At 37.8% G+C, this 23,228-nt stretch overlaps 1 long non-coding RNA gene across 1 annotated transcript in view; it reads left to right on the forward strand.

The window, feature by feature from the left end:
• The first annotated feature begins 7,221 nt into the window (after positions 1 to 7,221).
• The window catches only part of LOC107986816 (uncharacterized), a 63,027-nt gene continuing 47,020 nt past the window's right edge, over positions 7,222 to 23,228 (forward strand). Inside the window, exons 1-2 of the long non-coding RNA XR_001745261.2 lie at positions 7,222 to 7,598; positions 22,804 to 22,849. This is a non-coding gene — a long non-coding RNA (uncharacterized LOC107986816). The remainder of the gene's footprint in view (positions 7,599 to 22,803; positions 22,850 to 23,228) is intronic.

The raw sequence follows: 23,228 nt of genomic DNA on the forward strand, positions 1-23,228 counted from the left end.
GTAGCCTGGGGTGAATTCTCAGCTCTGCTCACCGGCTGCCTAGAAATAAACTCAGTGCTGTTGCAGGGACACAGTGAGAGTGAGACTGGCCTTTTGGACTGCAGGCTGCCTGGGAGCTGGCTGAGGCCTGTGGCTGCCACTTTCCCCCACTTCCCTGGCAATCTGTGTGACGCAGCAGGGATGGCCATAATCCTCCTGGGAATATAACTCCATTGGCCTGGGAACCACATGCTGGACCCCCACAGCAGCCACAGCCAGCCTCACCCAAGGAGAGTCTGAGCTGAGAAACAACTAACCCTGCCTCCATCCGATGGTCTTTCTCTACCCACCCTGGTAGCTGAAGACAAAGGTCATAGTCTCTTAGTAGCACTATGGCCCTGCCCACCACCTGAGAAACCTGAATACTTATCCAAAGGCAATGTTGGGCAAGTTTGTATCCTCCCTGTACAATCACAGATGATGTGCTCTTGAAAGTGCCACCTCCTAGATGGAGGCCAACCAACACAAAACCAGAGCACTTAACAAAAACACAACCAAGGATCTTCACAGAGTCCACTTCACTCCCTTGCTGCCTCCACCAGAGCAGGTGCTGGTATCCATGGCTGAGAGACCTGAAGATGGATCACATCACAGAACTCTTTGTGGACACTCCCCAGTACCAGCCTGGAGCCTGGTAACTCCGCTGGGTGGCTAGATCCAGAAGAGAAATAACAATCACTGCAGTCTGGCTCTCAGGAAGCCCCATTCCTAGGGGAAAGGGAAGAGCATCATATCAAGGGAGAACCCCTGTGGGACAAAAGTATCTGGGCAGCAGCCTTGAGTCTCAGATCTTCCCTTTGACATAGTCTACCCAAATGAGAAGAAACCAGAAAAACAATTCTGGTAATATGACAAAACGAGGCTCTTTAACGCCCCCAGAGGATCACAATAGCCCACCAACAATGAATCCAACCAAGAAGAAATTTCTGAATTTCCAGAAAAAGAATTCAGAAGGTTGATTATTAACCAATTAAGGAGGCACCAGAGAGAGGTGAAGTCCAACTTAAAGAAATCAAAAACATGATACAGGATATGAATGGAAAAATCTCTAGTGAAATAGATAGCATCGATTAAAAAATAACAATTTCAGGAAATCAAGGACACACTTAGAGAAATTAAAAACGCCCTGGAAAGTCTCAGCAATAGAATCAAACAAGTAGAAGAAATCACTTCAGAGCTTGAAGATAAGGCTTTTGAATTAACCCAATCCATCAAAGACAAAGAGAAAATAATTTTAAAAACATGAACAAAGACTCCAAGAAGTTTGTGATTATGTTAAATGATCAAACCTAAGAATAATTGGTATTCCTGAGGAAGAAGAGAAATCTAAAAGAAATCTAAAAGAGAAATCTAAAAGAGAAATATACTTGAGGGAATAATCGAGGAAACTTCCTTGGCCTTGCTAGAGATCTAGACATTCAAATACAAGAAGCTCAAAGAACACCTAGGAAATACATCGCAAAAAGACAATTGCCTAGGCACATAGTCATCAGGTTATCTAAAGTCAAGAGGAAGGAAATAATCTTAAGAGCTGTGAGGCAAAAGCATCAGGCAAGCTATAAAGGAAAACCTATCTGATTAACAGCAGATTTATCAGCAGAAACCCTACAAGCTAGAAGGGATTGGGGTCTGATCTTCAGCCTCCTTAAAACAATTATCAGCCAAGAATTTTTATCCAGTGAAACTAAGCTTCATAAATGATGGAAAGATACAGTCTTTTTATGACAAACAAATGCTGAGAGAATTTGCCACTACCAAGCCAGCACTACAAAAACTGCTAAAGGGAGCTCTAAATCTTGAAACAAATCCTCACAATACACCAAAATAGAATCTCTTTAAAGCATATATTTTATATGACCTATAAAATAAAAATACAATGAAAAAAAGGTATTCAAGCAACAAATAGCACAATGAATAGAATAGTACCTCACATATCAATACTGACATTGAATGTAAATGGACTAAATGCTCTACTTAAAAGATACAGAATGGCAGAATGATTCAGAACTCATCAACCAAGTATCTGCTGTCTTCAAAAGAGTCACCTGACACATAAGGACTCACATAAACTTAAGGTAAAGGGGTGAAAAAAGGTATCCCATGCAAATGGACAGTCAAAGTGAGCAGGAGTAGCTATTCTTATATCAGAACAAACAAACTTTAAAGCAACAGCAGTTAAAAAAGTCAAAGAGGGACATTATATAATGATAAAGGGACTAGTCCAACAGGAAAATGTCTTCATCCTAATTATATATGCATCTAACACTGGAGCTCCCAAATTTATACAACAATTACTACTAGACCTAAGAAATAAGATAGATGGCAACACAATAATAGTGGGGGACTTCAATACTCTATAGACAGCACTAGACAGTCATCAAGACAGAAAGTCAACAAAGAAACAAGACAGAAAGTCAACAAAGAAACAAACTGTACCCTAGAATAAATGGACTTAACAGATATTTACAGAACATTCTACTCAACAACTGCAGAATATACATTTTATTCATCAGCATATGTAACATTCTCCAAGATAGAACATATGATAGACCACAAAACAAGTCTCAACAAATTTAAGAATATCGAAATTATATCAAGTACTCTCTCAGACCAGAGTGGAATAAAGTTGGAAATCAACTCCAAAAGGAACCCTCAAAATCATATAAATACATGGAAATTAAATAATCTGCTTCTGATTGATTGTTAGGTAAACAATGAAATCAAGATGGAAATTAAAAACTTCTTTGAACTGAAAAATAATAGTGACACAACCTATCAAAACCTCTGGGATACAGCAAAAGCGGTGCTAAGAAGAAATTTCATAGTCTTAAATACATCAAAAAGTCTGAAAGAGCACAAACAGACAATCTCAAGTCACACCTGAAGGAACTAGAGAAATAAGAACAAACCAAATCCAAACCCAGCAGAGGAGAAGAAATAACCAAGATCAGAGCAGACCTAAATGAAGTTGAAACAAAAAAAATTCAAAAGATAAATGAAACGATAAACCTGTTCTTTGAAAAGATAAAATTGTTAGACCATTAGCAAGATGGACCAAGAAGGCAGAAGATCCAAATAAGCTCAATTACAAATGAAATGGGAGATATTACAACCCATAACACAGAATTGCAAAAGATAATTCAAGGCTACTATGAACACCTTTATGCACATAACCTAGAAAACCAAGAGGGGGTGGATAAATTTCTGGAAATATACAACCTTCCTAGATTGAGCCAGCAGGAAATAGAAACTCCAAACAGACCAATAACAAGCAGCAAGATTGAAATGGTAATTAGAAAGTTACTAAAAAAAAAAAGTTCAGGACCAGAAGGATTCACAGCTGACATCTATCAGACATTCAAAAAGAATTGGTACCAATGCTATTGATACTATTCCAAAAGATAGAGAAAGAGGGAATTCTCCCTAAATCATTCTGTGAAGCCAGTATCACCCTAATAGCAAAACCAGGAAAGGACGTAGCAACAACAACAACAACAAAACCACCACCACCAACAACAACGAAAAACAACTATACACCAATATCCCTGATGAACATAGATGCAAAAATCTTCAATAAAATACTAGCTGACTGAATCCAACAGCATATCAAAAAGATAATCCACCATGATCAATTGGGTTTCATACCAGGGATGCAGGGATGGTTTAACATCAGCAAGTCAATAAATGTGATACACCATATAAACAGCATTAAAAACAAAAATCACATGATCACCTCAATAGACACAGAAAAAAGCATTTGACAAAATCCAGCGTCCCTTTGTGATTAAAACCCTCAGCAAAATTGGCATAGAAGGGACATAACTTAAGGCAATAAAGACCATCTATGACAATCCCACAGCCAACATTATACTGAATGGGGAAAAATTGAAAGCATTTCCCCTGAAAACTGGAACAAGACAAGTATGCCCACTTTCACCACTTCTATTCAACATAGTATCGGAAGTCCTAGCCAGAGCAATCAGACAAGAGAAAGAAATAAAGGGCATTTGAATTGGTAATGAGGAAGTCAAAGTGTTGCCATTTGCTGATGACATGACTGTATATCTAGAAAACCCTAAAGACTCATCCAAAAAGCTCCTAGAGCTGGTAAATGAATTCAGCAAAGTTTCAGGATACAAAATTAATGTACACAAATCAGTAGCTCTGCTATAAGCCAACAGCGACCAAGCTGAGACTCAAATCAATAACTCAACCCTTTTTACAATAGCTGCAAAAAGTGAAAATAAAAATCAAATACTTAGAAATAAACTTAACCAAGGAGGTGAAAGGCATCTACAAGAAAAAACACAAAACACTGCTGAAAGAAATCATAGATGATACAAACAAATGGAAACACATCCTATGCTCATGGATGGGTAGAATCAATATTGTGAAAATGATCATACTGCCAAAAGCAATCTACAAATTCAATGCAATTCCCATCAAAATACCACCATCATTCTTCACAGAACTAGAAAAAACGATCCTAAAATTCATATGGAACCAAAAAAGAGCCTACATTGCCAAAGCAAGACTAAGCAAAATTTTTTTTAAAAAAGCAAACAACAACAACAAATATGGAGGCATTACATCACCTGACTTCAAACTGTACTATAAAGCATAGTCACCAAAACAGCATGATACTGGTATAAAAATAGGCATATAGACCAATGGAACAGAATAGAGAATCCAGAAATAAAGCCAAATACAGTTAACTGATCTTTGACAAAGCAAATAAAAACATAAACTTGGGAAAAGACACCCTATTCAACAAATGATTCTGGGATAATTGGCAAGTCACGTGTAGAAGAATGAAACTGGATCTTCATCTCTCACCCTATACGAAAACCAACTTAAGGTGGATCAAAGACTTAAGTCTAAGTCCTGAAACCATAAAAATTCTAGAAGATAACATTGGAAAAACCCTTTTAGACATTAGCTTAGGCAAAGACTTTATGATCAAGAACCCAAAAGCAAATGCAACAAATACCTAAAGATAAATAGGTGGGACTTAATTAAACTGAAATGCTTCTGCACAGCAAAATAAATAATTAGCAGAGTAAACAGACATTCCTCAGAGTGGGAGAAAATCTTCACAATCTATACATCCAACAAAGGACTAATACTTAGAATCTACAAGGAACTCAAACAAATCAAGAAGAAAAAAACAAACAATCTCATCAAAAAGTGGGCCGAGGACACGACTACACCATCCTCAAAAAAAGATATACAAGTGGCCAACAAACATATGAAAAAATGCTCAACATCACTAATTATCAGGGAAATGCAAATCAAAACCACAATGCAATACCACCTTATTCCTGTGAGAATGGCCATAATTTAAAAATAAAAAAAAAATAGATGTTGGCATGGATGTGATGAAAAGGGAACAATTTTTTTTTCTTTGAGACAGAGTCTCGCTCTGTTACCAGGCTGGAGTGCAGTGGCACAATCTCAGCTCACTGCAACCTCTGCCTCCCTGGTTCAAGCAATTCTCCTGCCTCAGCCTCCTGAGTAGCTGGGATTACAGGCATGTGTCACCACACTCAGCTAATTTTTGTATTATTTGTAGAGACGGGGTTTCACCATGTTGGCCAAGATGGTCTCGATGCCCTGACCTCGTGATCCACCGGCCTTGGCCTCCCAAAGTGTTGGGATTATGGGTGTGAAAAGGGAACACTTTTACACTAATGGTGGGAATATAAACAATCACCATAGAAAACAGTGTGGAGATTCTTTAAAGAGCTAAAGACCATTTGATCCAGCAATCCCACTCCTGGGTATCTACCCAGAGGAAAAGAAATCATTATATGAAAAAAAACACTTGCTTATGCATGTTTATAGCAACACAATTTGCAATTGCAAAAATATGGAACCAGCCCAAATGTCCATCAATCAACAAGTGGATAAAGAAAATGTGGTGTATATATTTACCATGGAATACTGCTCAGCCATAAAAAGGAACAAAATAATGTCATTCACATCAACCTGGATGGAATTGGAGACCATTACTCCAAGTGAAGTAACTCAGGAATGGAAAACCAAATATTGTATGTTCTCACTCATAAGTGAGAACTATACTATGAGGACACAAAAGCATAAGAATGATACAATGGACTTTGGGGACTCGGGGGAAAGGGTGGGAAGGGGTTGTGGGTTAAAAGACTACACATTGGGCACAGTGTTTACTGCTCAGGTGATGGGTGCACCAAAATCTCAGAAATCGCCACTAAATAACTTATTCAGGTAACCAAACACCACCTGTTCCCCAAAAACCTATTGAAATAAATAAAAAAATTTTAAAAAGAATACCTTTATTGGTCTCACATTGTAAGCAAACATGGTTCAATTACAGAGCACCTCTGTGAGAAGCATCTGTAATGACCCCAAGAATTGTTCCCTTGTAAGAGAGGAGGCTGAAATATTAATCCAGTGGCCACCTTCCCCATTGTTCAATATTAACACTGAATTGTTAACTCTTCCTTACTTCTGGGCCTCATTCTGGAGTAGGTGAGGCAGAGAGTAGAAAGCCCTACCAAGAAAACTTGAGGTGGGATGATGGCATTAGTCTGAGATCTCAGGGCACTTTCTACCCCAGCAACAGCTGAAATCAGAGATGGAGAGAGTATGAGGTGAGACAGCAAGGGTGGCTGCTATAGGCCCATAGGTTCAGGCCCACCAAGCTGCCATCTGTGACAGAAGCAAGTCATAATTCTTCAAAATAGTACTTCAAATTGAAATGGTTGGACTATCTTGACTTTTTAACATAATAAGTGAAGTCACACACAACTGAGGGGAGAGTGTGGGCATGAGTTAGTGATTAGTAAATAGAATACTAAGTAATAAGGAAAAAAGAAAATTATTAACTCTGAGGAAAAAATTTATTAAGCAATAATGAGAAATTGTCATAGTTTCTTACATGCCTCATTAGTGAATATCACTTACAAGGCAATAATGATATACATTTTGAATACTGAGCTAAAAATTATGATACATTGAGTATGCAATTAGGGGTGGGGGGTGAAAGAATGAGGTGTCAATAGACAATGACTAAAAATTTTAAAGTTAAGAAGTAACAACATAAATATATCATTTAGAAATGTTGAATACATCAGGAATATTTTCATATTTCTGCATGGTCAAGGCTTTCTGAACAATGGAAATTGACATGGATAAAGATAATGTCCTTTTTTTCCCTGCCTTCTCCATTTGCTCTTTACACCCTAACTACTTGTCTGCTTCACTGTGAAGCCATCTGCTGCCACTCAAAGGGTAACAGGGTAACAAAACCTTTCTTGTCTCCCCCAGAGCCTAATGCTTATATTTGAGAGTAGAGATCTTTTCCTGCACCTGCCAAAAAGGCATGCTCTTGTGCTCTCTCTCTCTTTCTGGAGAAGAGGAGGAATGAACGTGACAGCTCCTATATAATATCCCGTTTTCATAATTTCAGGGGTCCTCTACTGTAACACAGATCTCCTGGATGTGCAAGTGACATTCTCCATCTTCTTTTCACCTGGTGTGTGAATAATGGGGTGTGAAGAAAGAAAGCAAAATATTCTGTAAGTAAATAATAGGTTTGCCTCTGATGCAGAAAACCAATATTTACTGTTATAATAAAATAAGTACATATAGATATATAAAAGGTTATCAGAATTATATATTGAAGTATCACCTAAAATGATTGAATTTTGTTGTTTCAAGATTGGGAAACAGAGATGAAGTAATTCAGAAAATGGTTTCTTACGATAAGCCTTACATATCGATTTGACTCTGGAGACTATGTACCTGTGTAACTTTGATAAAAATAAACACTAATTTAAATGTTTAAATGACTACCAATAAACTCCTTTATCACAAAAGAAAAGTAGCTCTTTAGCATTATCTAGCTGACCTTGCAATTTGCAGTAGTGTAATATTTCTGTATTACAGTTTGATTTTACTTTTACTGCATTGTTTGCTATACTCTTACTAAAAAAGTGTTAGCCTACAGTATGCACTTGTTGCTTCACAAATGAATTCAAGAGCTATATGGTTAAAGGAGCTGGGCTCACATTGTAATTATTTAAGTTTGGCCACAAATGGCCTTCAAAGAATGCCTTGGGATTTTTTCATTTTCTCTGGGTCAGTACCTTTCCTCTCCAGGACCTTTTGCTATAAGTGTAATTGCAGTTTATCAAGGCAGTTAGTCATACACAAAAGTTTTCTGAGATGCCAGTTTGAGAAGGTCTGCACAGTAGTTTTCCAGCTGCTATCAGCCATATAACTTGGTGACACAAAGGTTTTATCCTTGTCCCACAGTTTTTCTCCTTAACCTTGAACAGTATTTCTTTGTGTATTACAGTTATCTCAATAGCTTTTGTGGAAAAATAGATGAAAATGGTCTACGAAGCTGTTAATATATTTTGATATTCACATGAAATTTGCCATTTCAAAGATGGAGAATGCTAAACAATAATGAGTAATGTAAATTTCCAAAATTTGTTGCATTAGATCCGAACTTATTACCCATACAAAATCTATTGTTTCTTGCATAAATGCTATTTTTTTCTGTAATAAAGATATTTGATAGACTATTTTGGAGATTTTGAAGGCTAAAGTTTTGGAAAGTTCCCTTTAGTGATAGATTATTATCTTCCCATAATTTAATAATATTTTATTTTATTTTTCAACAAATTTAGTTGACTTTTATTTGAAATTCATGAATTGGTGCAGGCTCCATTCTACAAAGTAGAATGAGAGTTCCCACTGGGCAATGGCAGAACAGTGGGTTCTGTAAGGTGGGAACAGGGAAGAACAACAGAAAGAAAAAGCTGTCCTGGTGCAGTGGCTCACGCCTGTAATCCTAGCACTTTGGGAGGCCGAAGCGGGTGGATTTCCTGAGTTCAGGAGTGAGACCAGCCCGGGCAACACGGTGAAACCCCGTCTCTATGAAAATACAAAAAATTAGCCAGATGTGGCGGCATGTGCCTGTAGTCCCAGCTACTTGGGAGGCTGAGGCAGAGAATTGCTTCAATCTGGGAGGCGGAGGTTGCAGTGAGCCCAGATGGTGCCACTGCACTCTAGCCTGGGCAACAGAGCAAGACGCCTTCTCCACAAAAAAATAAATAAATAAATAAATAAATACATTTTAAAAAACTGACTTGTTAACATCAAGTAAGGTTACTTCAGGTTAGTTTTTTGTAAGAACTAAAGCAGAGGAATCTTCCATATTATGCTGACTCATGTCGACCGGAATATCCTGTTTTCAAAGAAAAATTGGTATCTTGGGGGTCTATCTGCTTTTCCAGTTTGATTATTTGGCATTAAGCCTGAGTGACTCCATATCAGTTTAGTTTGGTCTGCTGAGGTCCAGTTCAGGAGCTCAGACTAAAACAATTGCTTCTCAGGATTTTTGTTTAACAATCATTATGTGAACTTACTAATTTATCTGCCATTGTAAATGTTCTAATTTTTTTTTTCCAGCTTGTCATTTGCCTTTCTAGTTCTGTTTTTCCTATCTTCCCTACATTAACAGCAGAGTTGGCTCTTTTCTATAGTTTTTATTTTTATGTTTTTCTCTGTTTATGTATTTCTTTATTTTATTGCTCCCTGACTGGCCTGGGCACTCACAGGCCACCTTGTAGTTAAGAAACCAGGATCCATGAGAGAAGAAAGGTTGCCCAGGTCCCTACCTCAAGAAAGTGTGGGAACCAGAATGGAAACCCAGTCCCATGTAGGGAAGAGCCTGCAAGGGTCTTTCTCAGGTCAGGTGCCTAGGCCAGAGACAGTCCAGAAGAGGCCTGAGAAGTGAAGAGGAGGGTTCAAGGGGCTGTTAAAACTCACAAGGGCCATGGAAGAGCAAGCCAACAGAGGACTACTGCCCACTCCCGCTGCCGGGCAGCTCTGTTCTCATACCTTCTTCTGGCATTGGCAATGGGATGTCCAGAACCTCCCCTCACTCAATAGATCCCTCACAGTGACCACGGTACACTGTACTGTGGGACTTTGCCTTCCAGGAGCTCACAGGTTGTTGGAAAATCCTATAGCCCTCTTCAGTTTAGACTGTCATTTTAGGAAGGTAAGTGGCAATGGGTGTGCAGGAACTGCAGTTGTAGGCCCCAAAGAATTCTACTGATGAACGCTGGAGGCTTTTGGCATCAGAGCCTGAAGCACTGATGTAGTCTGGTGTTGGACTTCAGGCTGTGTGGCCAGGGCATGAGAACCAGGAGCCCATCTCCACCCCCACCCCACTACCAATCCTTGCATCAGACAATTGGGGAGAACAGATAGACTACATGCTCATTACCATGTCAGTTACATGCTCCACAGTCACATGCTCAATTTCTAAATGTGTCGGCTCTTTCCTAACTTCCCAGATTGATAAGGTGATGCAGAGGATGAAACATGTGACAAACTATATTAGTCAGGGTTCTCTTAGAGGAACAGAACTATATATATATATATATATATATGTACAGGAGTTTGGCCGGGCATGGTGGTCACACCTATAATCCCAGCATTTTGGGAGGCCAAGGCGGGCAGATCACCTGATGTCAGGTGATCTGACCTCATGGAGAAAGCCCGTCTCTACTAAAAATACAAAATTATCCAGGTGTGGTGGCTCATGCCTGTAATCCCAGCTACTCGGGAGGCTGAGACTCGCTTGAACCCAGGAGGCAGAGGTTGTGGTGAGCTGAGATCATGCCACTGCACTCCAGCCTGGGCAACAAGAGTGAAACTCAGTCTAAAAAACAAAACAAAACAAAACAAACAAACAAACGAACAAAGGCTGGGCGCAGTAATCCCAGCACTTTGGGAGGCTGAGGTGGGTAGATCACGAGGTCAGGAGTTCAAAACCAGCCTGGCAAACATGGTGAAACCCCGACTCTACTAAAGAAAAAAATACAAAAATTAGCTGGGCGTGATGGAGCGCACCTGTAATCCCAGCTACTTGGGAGGCTGAGGCAGGTGAATCACTTGAATCCGGGAGGCGGAGGTTGCAGTGAACTGACATTGCACCACTGCACTCCAGCCTGGGCGACAGAGCGAGACTCCCCCTCAAAAAAAAAAAAAATGGTGGGGAGTTTATTAAGTATTAATTTACACAATCACAAGGTCCCACAATAGGCTCTCTGCAACCTGAGGAGCAAAGAGAGCCAGTCCAAGTCCCCAGACTGAAAACTTGGAGTCCGATGTTTGAAGGCAGGAAGCAACCAGCACAGGAGAAAGATGTAGGCTGAATAGCTAGGCCCGTCTCTCCTTTTCACATTTTCTGCCTGCTTTATATTTGCTGGCAGCTGATTAGATTGAGCCCACCAGATTAAGGGTGGATCTGCCTTCCCCAGCCCACTGACTCAAATGTTAATCTCTTTTGGCAACACCCTCACAGACACACCTAGAATCAATTTTTTGTGTCCTTCAGTCCAGTTGTTGACACTCAGTATTAACCACCAGGCAAGCACTTCTGTGGACAAGCAGCACTGCACTTGGCTTCTGGTTTTAGACTGTGCTGAGCCATTTGTCTCCCTAATTTCATCTCTAACTTACACCACATACTTATTCAGTAACCCCAAAGGTATAGTATCCCCCCAAAATGAGAGGGGTGTTTATTTCTGGGACCATGAGGGATCACTGTCCGCCTTCCCTCCTTGAGTGAATCACCTCTGTGCTGGCGTGCCCCCTTCCTCCATCCTCCTTCTTTCTTTCTTTTAGCATGGCTGGGCAAATGTTGGAGTGGGGAGAAACACTATGTGCTAGACCCTGTGAACTCTTAGACAGAAGACATGAATTTCTTTCTTTCGAAGGCAGGAAGCATCCAGCATGGGAGAAAGACGTAGGCTGGGTAGGAATTTTACTGTGGAGTTTGCTGCTAGGCCCCTACAAGGTGAGTTGCAAGGAGGGGATTGTTTCAGGAAAATGCCTAGGGACAGGTGCAGGTTCAGCTTCCATAAAGAACCCCATTTGGCTGGACACAGGGAAAAGAAGGCTGGATAAAGCTGGAGATGCAAGGTCGGATCAGGGAGCAGCACAAAAGCCAGGCTGGGGGAAGTCATCACTATGCACAGAAAAGAGAAGAATCCGTTATGGGGACACAGAAATGGCTAGAATAGAACTGATTGTGGTTTACTGATTACAAAATAATACATTTCTACGAAACAGTCCTCATCCTGCCAAGCCCCTCTCTCTAGCAGCCTTTGTACATTGTAAACGCGCCATGTTTATTTGGTTAATAAACAGAAGGACACCCGAATCCTTTTTTCTCCCATCTAAGAAAAACCCCAAAGTCCTGTGCACCCTGAGGCCCTTCCATTCTGACAACTTCATTTCCCTGGAAAGTGTGTCTGGAGGCCCTTCCACTATAAAGTATACAAATCTTGATATTCCTCTTCAATTTTCATAATGTGAACACTACAGATGAGCGCAGGACACAGACTAAGGTGATTTCCACGGGTTTGCCTTGCAGCTCCCCCAGAGGTGCAGATCCTGCAGCAGGTGCTCCGGGGCCTCCCGAGCTGGTTGGGTTAGAGAGGAAGAGAAGGAAAATGCTCCTAGCGCTTAGCAGGGCCCTGCACAACGGCTGCGCAGCGGCCAGGAAAGCGGCCCGAGAGGTGGGATGCGGCCAAAGCTGCTGGGGCGGTGGCGGAGAGGGCTGCTTTCAGGTCCCCGCGCACCCTACCCGGGCGCCTTCCCTGGCTGCCAGACCCACAATGGCTGCAGCTCTGCGGTGACAGGCCGCAGCCTAGGTCCCCACAGGGGCCTGCCCCATGCTGGGAGCAGGCCAGGTGCCCTGGGAGGAACTTGAGGCCCAGCACTGACAGCTTCTAGCTGTGGAAAGGGCTGGTGGCAAGCGGGACCTGGAAGCAGCGCTGAGCTGAAGGGCGGAAAGAGACGTTTGCGTAAGGCTGGCCTGGCACACTGGCTACCATCTCCAGGTCAAGGTGGTGGTGGCCGGGGCATTTGGGCCCGGGACGCCAGCGTGCCCTCAGAGGAGAACTTGGCCCCAAGCCTCCTCTGGTTCCCAGGAGAAGTTGCCCACATTGCTCTGAACCCCTGGGAATCTGTGCTGGCAGGAGTAGTCAGGGGCCAGCAACCCGGGCTGACCGGGGAGTGGGATCGGGGCCTGCGCCCAGGCTGCCTCCACACTGGGGCTTCCCTGGCTTCTCTTTGGTATCCGAGCTCTCTGGTTCTGAAACCAAACCTGGATTCATGGCTTGGGAATCTGTGTTTTCTGGCCAGTTATTCTATGACAGTAATATCAGGATAAGCGTCCCTTTGGAAGGCCTCAATTAGAATGTGTTTAGATATTTGTCAAATTCAGTCCTCCTGCTCCTCTGGCCTTGCTCAGGTGTGTCAAGCCATGATCTGAGCTCACTGTCCACTGGAAGCCTCAGTGGAAATCAATATTTTAAATATTTGCCTGGCATGGTGGCTCACGCCTGTAATCCCAGCACTTTGGGAGGCCAAGGCAGGTGGATCACCTGAGGTCATGAGTTCGAGACCAGCCTGGTCGAACATGGTGAAACCCCATCTCTACTAAAAATACAAAAATTAGCTTGGCGTGGTGGTGGGCGGCTGTAATCCCAGCTACTGGGGAGGCTGAAGCAGGAGAATAGCTTGAACCTGGGAGGTGGAGGTTGCAGTGAGTCCAGATAGCACCATTGCACTCCAGCCTGAGCAACACGGTGAACCCATGTATATAACCAACCACTTTTAGAGGGGAGGCACTTCATAACTAACCATTCCACACTTATGTCACTTTTGAGATAGGAGAATGTAAGGTGAATAATTAGCATCCTGACTTTTTACTTACATAAGAAACAGTGGCCTGGATAAATGTATATTACAGAGTACCAAGACAGAACAGACCTTTACATGATACAACTTCACTCTTCCTTGACATGAAAATGCAATTTGGACATTTCTATGTACATTTTTCACCCATTATTTGGTGAAAACCCAGCTAATCCTATTGATTCTCAGGTCCCCTTTCCAGATACTTATAGGCAATGTAGAATATAATAAAAATTTCTCAATAATATTGATTTATAGTATGTATTATTTAACTAGTATTCATTCAAATAACAATTTATCAAAAGTTAATGTTAATTCAATTTAATTCCATGTACTATGGTTTATTTGATATTTATGTTAAAGTAATATTTATATTACAATTAAACATTAGTTATATGTACTTAATACTTATTTTTAATTCAGGATGCCTGGTTGGGTGTGATGTATGTCTTTGATGAGAATATATTCCAGGTAAAGCTAAACCTTAAACCTTATCTCCGTATTTCCAAAATCATGAGTGCAAATCAACACATTATTATAAGGTTTATGAATCAAGTTGATCCCTTAATTTTAGAATTTAAATATTTTCAAACTAAAAAATAACAGAGTGTACTCCCAAGTTTAATTTCTCATTAATAAAGAACTAAAACTGCTGATGGATGTAAAAACAAATTTACATCCATCAGTTAGCAATCATCCTGCAAGTAATATATTTGGTAAAACTTCAACAAAACTGCTCTAAATGTGAAATGGAAATAGTTTTGTTATAGGTTCATATATTTCAGCTCTAATCCCAATATCTCAGAATCTAAACTTATTTGGAAATAGGGTTTTTGCAGATGTAATTAGTTAAGTTTGGATGAGGGTATACTAGTAAGATGTGGTCCTAATTCAATACGACCACTATTCTTACAAAAAACGGGACGATTTGGACACAGAAAAGCACATAGGGAAAGTGCCATGTGAAGATAGACAGAGATTGGGGATGCTAAAGATTGCCAGCCTACCACCAGAAGCCCTCAGAAGGAGCCAAGCCTTCTGACTTCTTGATCTCACATTTCTAGTCTTCAGAACTGTAAAATAATGCATATCTGTTGTGTAAACCACTCAGTTTGTAGTATTTGTGATACAATAGCTCTAGCAAATACATATAGCCTTTTATAAAATTGTATTTTAGAAGGCATATGGTTTTCCTCAGTTAAATGTAGAAAAACTTTATTTTCATATATAAAATTAGGTTTGAGGTTATCAGTGAAATAAATACATCTCTAATTTCCACAGTCTTTTTTAGTGATACCAAAAACTAAAACTGCCAAGCAAAATTCTTTGTAGTTCAGCTTTTCTGAGGGTCCTCCCTGTCTTCCCACTCATTACTCTTTTGTAACCTGTTCTGATCTTTATTTCGCTATCTTAATTTCAGGTGCCCAGTACTACATTGTATCCTTAATTTAAAAAGAAATCACAACATAAACCCTCAATTTGTCAACAAATTTTACAAGAGCATATATTAGAATGGGTGTTCAATTGTGTTTCCTCTCTTAAAATTTAGGACTTAAAAATTATTTTTACCTCTTTGTGGAAAGGAAAACTTTGTTCCCACTTAATGTAGATTCAGTTGTGCTAGAGAAGTTAATAAAAAAAAGAAAACTAGATATCAGGATATTGTAAGACCCTGAAATCACACCTACACTATCTGCAACTCTGAAATATGAGGTTAGAGATAATGATATAAGTATTGTTTTTCTAGCATGTTATAAATCATTCTACAAAGAGTAGTCATGTGGTAATAAAATGAATACTTTCTAGTGAAAATTTTATATTTTTTTGTTCTCAATATATGATTTAGTTCTTTTTAAATCTCTTTTGCATACATGCCCTTCTAGAATATCCAAAATCATTTCTTATTATCAGAGTGTTTTAGTATAAGGTACAATCTGTTATTAGCTTGTATCTTTGAGCAGAGACAAATTAAAAAATATCCTAAACTCTAAAGGGATACTTCATTCTTAATATTGTTAAGTAAAATGCTACCATAGCTATGAAAATCTTCATATTATTTTTAAATTAAAGTAACCAATTTTATTCTCAGAGACTTAGTATACTTACTAGAAATTAAGTTATTTCAAATACTTACATGTATTTTAGGGTAAATATTATGTAGAAACTTATCTGCAAAGAGTACTTTGTAATTTTTCACAATGCTTGATTTACAACAGCTGAAACAGCTGAAAAGCAAAGATAAAGCAGAATCACTAAAGGCAGCTAGGGAAAAAGAAACACTACACAGGGAGAATGAAAGATAAGAATCGTAGAAGAGTTATTGTCAAAAACTGCACAATTCAGAAAAGCAATGAAGTGACATCTTTAAAGTATCAGAAAAAGTAATCCTAGAAATTTATTCACAGTGAAAATATCTTTCAAGAGTAAAGTCTCAATGAAGATTTGTTTTTCAGAAAAAAACCAACAGGTACGTGCATTTATTGCCAATGGACCAATGCTACAAGGTATGATCAAGGAAGTTTTTCAGGCAAAAGGATTATGAGACCAGATGCAAACTTGAATTTACCACAAAAATAAAGAGCTCTAGAAATGGTAAAAATGAATATAAACATTTTCCCTAATTTTCAGTGTCTCTAAACTATAAATAAATATTTAAAACAAAAATAATAATAGTGTATTGTGATATTTATAGGCAAAATAAAATGCATAATAGTAGTACAATGAATTTGAGGCAAGAATTGAAAGGATACAGTTGTAAAGTTCTAACATTATTCATATTAAAAGATAGATTGTGATAAAACCAAGATATAAATTGTAAACCTTAATGCAACTGTTTTAACAATGAAGTATTATTAATAAGACAGTAGTAAAAATAAAATGGCATCATAACAAACGTTCAATTAATACAAAAGCAGGCAGTAAAAAGAAAAACGTGAATAAAGAATATACAATACAAGTATAGAAGAACAAACAATATAATAGATTTTAACCCTGCCATATTAATAATTATATTAAATGTAAATGATCAATAAAATATAAAAATCAATAAAAATATAGAGATTGTCATAATGTGTTAAAAAAGCAAGACCTAACTATAGTCTGTCTATAAAAACCACATTTTATTTTATTTTATTTTTTGTTTTTGAGATGAAGTCTCTCTCTGTCACCCAGGCTGGAGTGCAGTGATACGATCTCAGTTCACTGCAACTTCTGCCTCCTGGTTCAAGTGATTCTCCTGCCTCAGCCTCTTGAATAGCTGGGATTACAGGCACCCACCACCATGCCCAGCTAATTTTTGTATTTTTAGTAGAGATGGGGTTTCACCATGTTGGCCAGGCTGGTCTAGAACTCCTGACCTCAAGTGATCTGCTGGCCTCGGCTTCCCAGAGTGCTGAGATTACAGGTGAGTGCCACTGCATGTGGCCTAAAAGCCACGTTTTAAATATAAATATATTGCTAAGTTAAAAATCATAAGTATGCACAAAGACAATGGTAGCTTTTCCCTATATTCTTGTCTTTCAGTATTTCATTCCAACATTTTCTATATATTAATAAGATAGAAAATAAGAGGAACAAATTAAGTTATGGAAAAAAACTACTTCTAAACCTAATTAGCATACAGAGAATGCCTACATTCTTAATAGCTGTAAGATGTTTTAGTGTGTGGTCTTTTACACAGTTGTCCCACTCCAACCCCACCGCAAGACATTTCTGGAAAGAAAACACAGACCTAGAAAACCTACAGAAAAGAGATAAAGAAATAAACAATGAGGCATAAGGTCTAAAATCTCTGCCAGAAAAACTAAGTCCACTCTTTTCTAAAAATACTAAAATAATGTCCAGGTAAGACAGAGCATGAGCCACAGAAAAGATATTTAAGAGTTTCACAACTTAAAGAAGCAGAATTTAAAACACAAAGCTTCTTTGGAGGAGAAAGAAACCATAAAGAAGGCACCTCTGGCCAATGGGATAGTGAATTAAATGAAAGAGGACATTTTTGAATCCCGCAAGACAAAAGGGGAACACAAAACTAGATAATTCACAATCCCATTGCCTATCATAAAAGCAAACAAACAAAACCATTGAAGTTTTCGAGTTTTGAAATACTGTGAGACAGGAGTATCATTAAATTAAAAATCTTGTAAAACACTGTAATACCACACATAAAAAAATAGACAAGAGAAGATTAACAGATTCAAAATGAGCTTTTGAAAGAAATCTGAAAACAAAATTCAACACATATTAACTGAGGAAATTTTCCCTCAGACTAATAACCATGAAGCAGAAGAAAACTCCAAGTCAAAACTATAAATGGAATGAGATAGTCTCACAAGTAAATGAAGATTTGAAAAAATAATCTAAATCAGAAATTCAAAATCTGAGGCTAGACATGGAAAAAACCAGTAAAAATTAAAAGAAAGTTGATTGAATTCAAAAAAGAAATGGAATTAAAAGACAAAATTAACATAGAAATGAAGAATGGATTTTAAGACGCCCATGAGAGAATTGATTTTAAAAAATTAAATAAGGAGCATTGAAGAAAAACAGAAAAATAATTAAGAGAATAAAAATGAGTGAAGAAGTGAATATGATACAAAGATAGAAAGAGAAGGAGTAATATGTGTATTATTGCAATCCCTGAACAAAACAAAGAGTGAAAAGCAAAACTTTAGGACATTAGACATTAGAAAATAACTATTAACAAAAACATTGGAAAATAATGTTTGAAATTATAATCACAGAAAACTTCCCAGACATTTAATAAAAAGTTTGAACCTAAAAATGGGAAGACCCCACTGGGTACTTGGGAAAATACAGTTTATGAGAAAATTTAGTTTATCATTAACCCAGACTGATAAACTTTAAGACATATTCTAATAACCATTAGGTTTCAGAGTTAAAAGAAAAATTCTCATGACCTCATGGCCTAAATAAACAAACATGTAACTTGCAATGACAGATATATTGGACTGGCATTGGTCTTTTGATAACCCAATTTTAAAGCAGTAGTATAAAAAAATGCTTAATGAGAAAAACTAGTGTAAATTAAGTATTTGATATTCAGCCAAACTGTCCCTCCAGAACCAAGCAAGACTACAGGAAAATAGATAATAACAAGCAAGAACTTAGGTAAATTTGTATGCAGTAACCTTCTTGGGTAATCTATTAGAATATGAACTTTATATTTTTAATAACATCATTTAAAAGAAGCCTGGGACCATTTTTGGAAAATTCTTTTTAATTCAAACATTCCAAGCATATTGAACTAATGGAAAATTTAATTTCCTGAGAAATGTATGCACCAATATTGGTGGATGTACTTGAGAAAAATAATTAACACTATATTCCCAATAGGGTTTTTTCTTTATTTGGGAAACATTAATAAATTAATAAATTTATTCTGGGGATTAAAGGGACTTGAAACCTTCAAAGGGAAATTCACCAAGAATCTTGAAAATTATTCAAGTATAAATGAGTATGGAGGGGAAAATTATGAGGCATAAAACACCTGTCCTCAACAGGTAAAACTAATCAGATAAGAAGTTTAAAAATTTACTATTTGGAAAACAATAACTTGGCATCAAATCAGTGTGGCTAAAGGATTAACCAAGGAGATCTCTATAAAACAAACAAAAACTCTTAAACAGAAATAGTACTTCTTGAAAAACAAAACTACAATATTCAGACCAAATTTGATTTGTACCTCCTCCAAGCTTGAAGGTTTGTAAAGAAAGCTGGTGCCTTATGTCATCCCAGATTTGCAACCAGGTAGCACCATGGAAACATGCTGACTTAGTAGTTAAAACTTCTTCTCCATCAAATGATGGCAGTAATCCCACACCCCGAAAATACAAAGACACAAGGAGCATTATCTTTATTAATTTGCAGATATTAATCTGCAAACCATTTGATTGTGAATCAGACTTCCCTGAGTTTCCAGAGCGCTTTCAGGTTCAATTCTGTGTTCAACTAGGGGCATTTTTCACTTTTTAGTATCTGGTCAAGTTCTAATCTTTGTTCTTTCCCCCTGGAAAAAAAAATGCAGTTTATTGAAAATTAGAGCCAATTATGTTATTGCATTTTTCAAAAATATATCTAAGAGACCTTGGAATTATTATAAATTTTTTTGTCCCTTAACCTGGAAACATTTTTGATTAGCCTATGAGGTGGTGATACTTTTCCTATAACTGAATACATTTCTGTTTGTTTATATATTTTAAAAATTCAATTATATCCCTGTCTATCACCACTTGTATATTTAGCATTGGTATTACTTCATTGAGGAGGAACAATTTATGTGTTCCCTGACTTGGTAGCTTGCCATACCTTAGGGAATCCTCTCAATATTTTTTTCCTATGTCTGTGTCTGAAGTTGAAAATCCCAAGCAATTTTATGTCCTTACATACTGCTAACTATCCACCTCTGCCCAATACAATGACATCTATATTGTCCCACATCTCTGGTTTTACTTCAAAGACACTTCTATAACCAGAGTATATGGGACAAGTGGCTTGAATAGGGCAGAGAACAATATTGAGTATCTAAGAGTCAGATGTTGTGATGGACATTTTAAACCTGCCATCTAATTTCATCTTATTATTTCATGGAAGAGAACATTGTGTCTCAAAGAGGTTAGGTAAGCTTTCCAAGACAAATTCAAGCTTATCTTAATCCAAAGCCAAGTAGTACAAGAACATGATATGAGAAAAAGCAAGAAAATTCTGAATGCTCTTTTAAATGATTTTTAAATCTGGTTAACCCAGCCTTTCCTATTCTTGTGATCTTTGACATTAGAGACTTTGAGAGAGTGTTGAGGGTGGTGGGTAACTAGGTATAGAATTATCAGTTCCATTTGGAAGATTGCAAAATAACAAAATTACTAATTACGAAGTGAGAAAGGAAAAGAGTCTTTGTGAACATTCATCTTTCCTTCAGAAATATAGTATCCTAACCACATTGAATTTTTCCTTCCTAACCATCTCTAAAAACTATTATCTGAACTAAAAATCTCAGCACTAATCTAGTTAAAATATGTATTTGTCTTGTTTTACCAGAAAAGTTCTTTGAAGGCAGCAGTCTTGATATATACAGTCATGCACCATATAGCAACGTTTTAATCAATGACAAACTGCGTATCTGACAGTGGTCCCATAAGATTATATTATATTTTTACTATACATTCTCCATGTTTAGATATGTTTAGACACACAGATACTTACCATTGTGTTTTAATTGCCTACAGTATTCACTAGAATATGCTGTACAGGTTTGTAGCCTAGGGGCAATAGGCTATAGCATATATCCAAGGCGTGTAGTAGGCTATACCATGTAGGTTTTGGGAAGTACACTCTATGAAACCTGTGTAATAATGAAATTGCCTAAGGATACATTTCTCAGAACCTATACATGTTGTTAAGTGACACATGACTGTATATTTCTTTAGTATGCTCCAATTCCCAAATGGAGGTTAATCTCATAGAATTGAGTTTTGTTGAACCAACCTGTCCCAGGTTTCAACCCTTGTTGTGATTTTCCTAACCTTCTACTTTCTCTGTTGTGAGCTGCAGCAACATTTTATAGAGTTGTTATTTTACTGAGCTGTTTCTCTGGAAGCAGTTGTAATGTCTGTGGGGATAATGTACCACTTTCCTTTTTAGAGGAGCACTGAGAAATCCAGAGAAGCTTTTGGAAGGTATTGACACTGCTCAAAAGGAAACATTTTAAAATGAAAACTAGACACTTGACAATTAAAATTCTTCATGATATGACTCTGTTTTATCATGAAGCTTGAGGTTTCTGAGATGTTACCCATCTCATTCATGTATGTCTGTACCTACTTATATGTCTATCTGAATACTGCAGAAACACAAGGCATTTGGGTAGAGAAAAGCATTCTATATTGATGCTCACAACCACATCAACAGTAACATTGTTGCATTGGTCCCTCACACCTAGACCTATAGGCAACATGATGAGTTCTAATGAAAACTTTCCAGGCAAGTGGTTAAGTTTCACTGGTAGAGGAGAGATGATAACAGAAACAGCAATGGATTTATCAGCTTTCACTCTTCCCTTCTGAAAGATGGGATAGATAGGATCCTGGATTGCACTCACTGTTTTTAATATGTAAATACACCTTTCCAAGGAACAAGTAAGCCCTAGTGTCTATGGCTTTTATGACCTAAACATATCCCCAGGGTTTGGGCTTCATCATTTTGAAATGTAAATTCCTAGGAAGACAGTCTTCTTGACATCTTGATTGCTTAACCTAAGGGCCTAATCTAGGCTGTAACCAATTGTTCCTGTAGGAGAGAGAAGAGAAGTTTTATCATACTCTTGGATCAGCATGATTAACTCAACAAATGACTGCAGATCTAATCCTCATAATATGTGGATAGTTATATGTTTCTAGGGGAAGGGAAAGCAAACATTATTTTTATGTTGTATACATTTATGTGTCTCAGGTGGCTCAAAATTTTTACAGGAGAAATCTAGAGAAGTTTTATTTCCCCACATGCTCTCACCATCCTCTCAATATTATCACTCAGGGCTGCCCTTCATATACAGCATGTTTGACCAATGGGACTATTCTCTGGACATTTTATATGTTTCAGGAATTTTCACTCCAACTTTGCTTATGATATTTCCTCTATCCAGAATATCCTTCTCAGTTCCATGGGTCCTAATCCTACCAGATACTTCAACACACAACTCAAATACTTTCTCTTCAATGGATTATGCCAGATTATTCAGCTGGATACCTTCTCTTCCTTCTTTGAAATATCATCTCATAGTCTGGTCCTCTTTTATGGTATTTAATTATATTCTATTTTGGATTATTACTATTTAGATATTAGGTACTTTCCCTGATAGATTTTATACTGACTTGAAGCCAGGTTTATGATTCTGATTTAAGGTAGTATTGAATATTATATATATGTTTTCCAGATGAAGATGTCTCATTTATTTATTCATTTTTTCCCATGGCCTAGCATGTCTGTCCTTAACATCATAGGAACCTGATCTTTCTACTGGAAGGTAAGTTGTTTCATTTGGGAAGACATGTTAATTTAGGTAACAAATTCTTACTTTATCACAGGCTAAGAGCTACACTTCACAGAAGTAAGTACACAGCATCTGCATTCATAGAATGGTGGCTATGACCACCATCATGCATGTACTTCTAATAATATTTCTTATGTCAAAATCTTCTTGAAGCCATTTTAGAAACTTATTTATGTCCCATACTTAATACAGTGCAAGTATATTAATTGATATGATATTAATATACTTAATATAATTACTGACATACTGAATTATATAGTTCCATGAATATTGCATGAATAAATAAAGTTTGGCTTATTGCTATTATTACCTTATGAATCACTTGTAACAACATTATCAATCATTTTTAGGG

Source organism: Homo sapiens, chromosome 7 (genome assembly GCF_000001405.40).
Source record: "Homo sapiens chromosome 7, GRCh38.p14 Primary Assembly".
In the NCBI taxonomy this organism is placed as follows: Eukaryota; Metazoa; Chordata; class Mammalia; order Primates; family Hominidae; genus Homo; species Homo sapiens.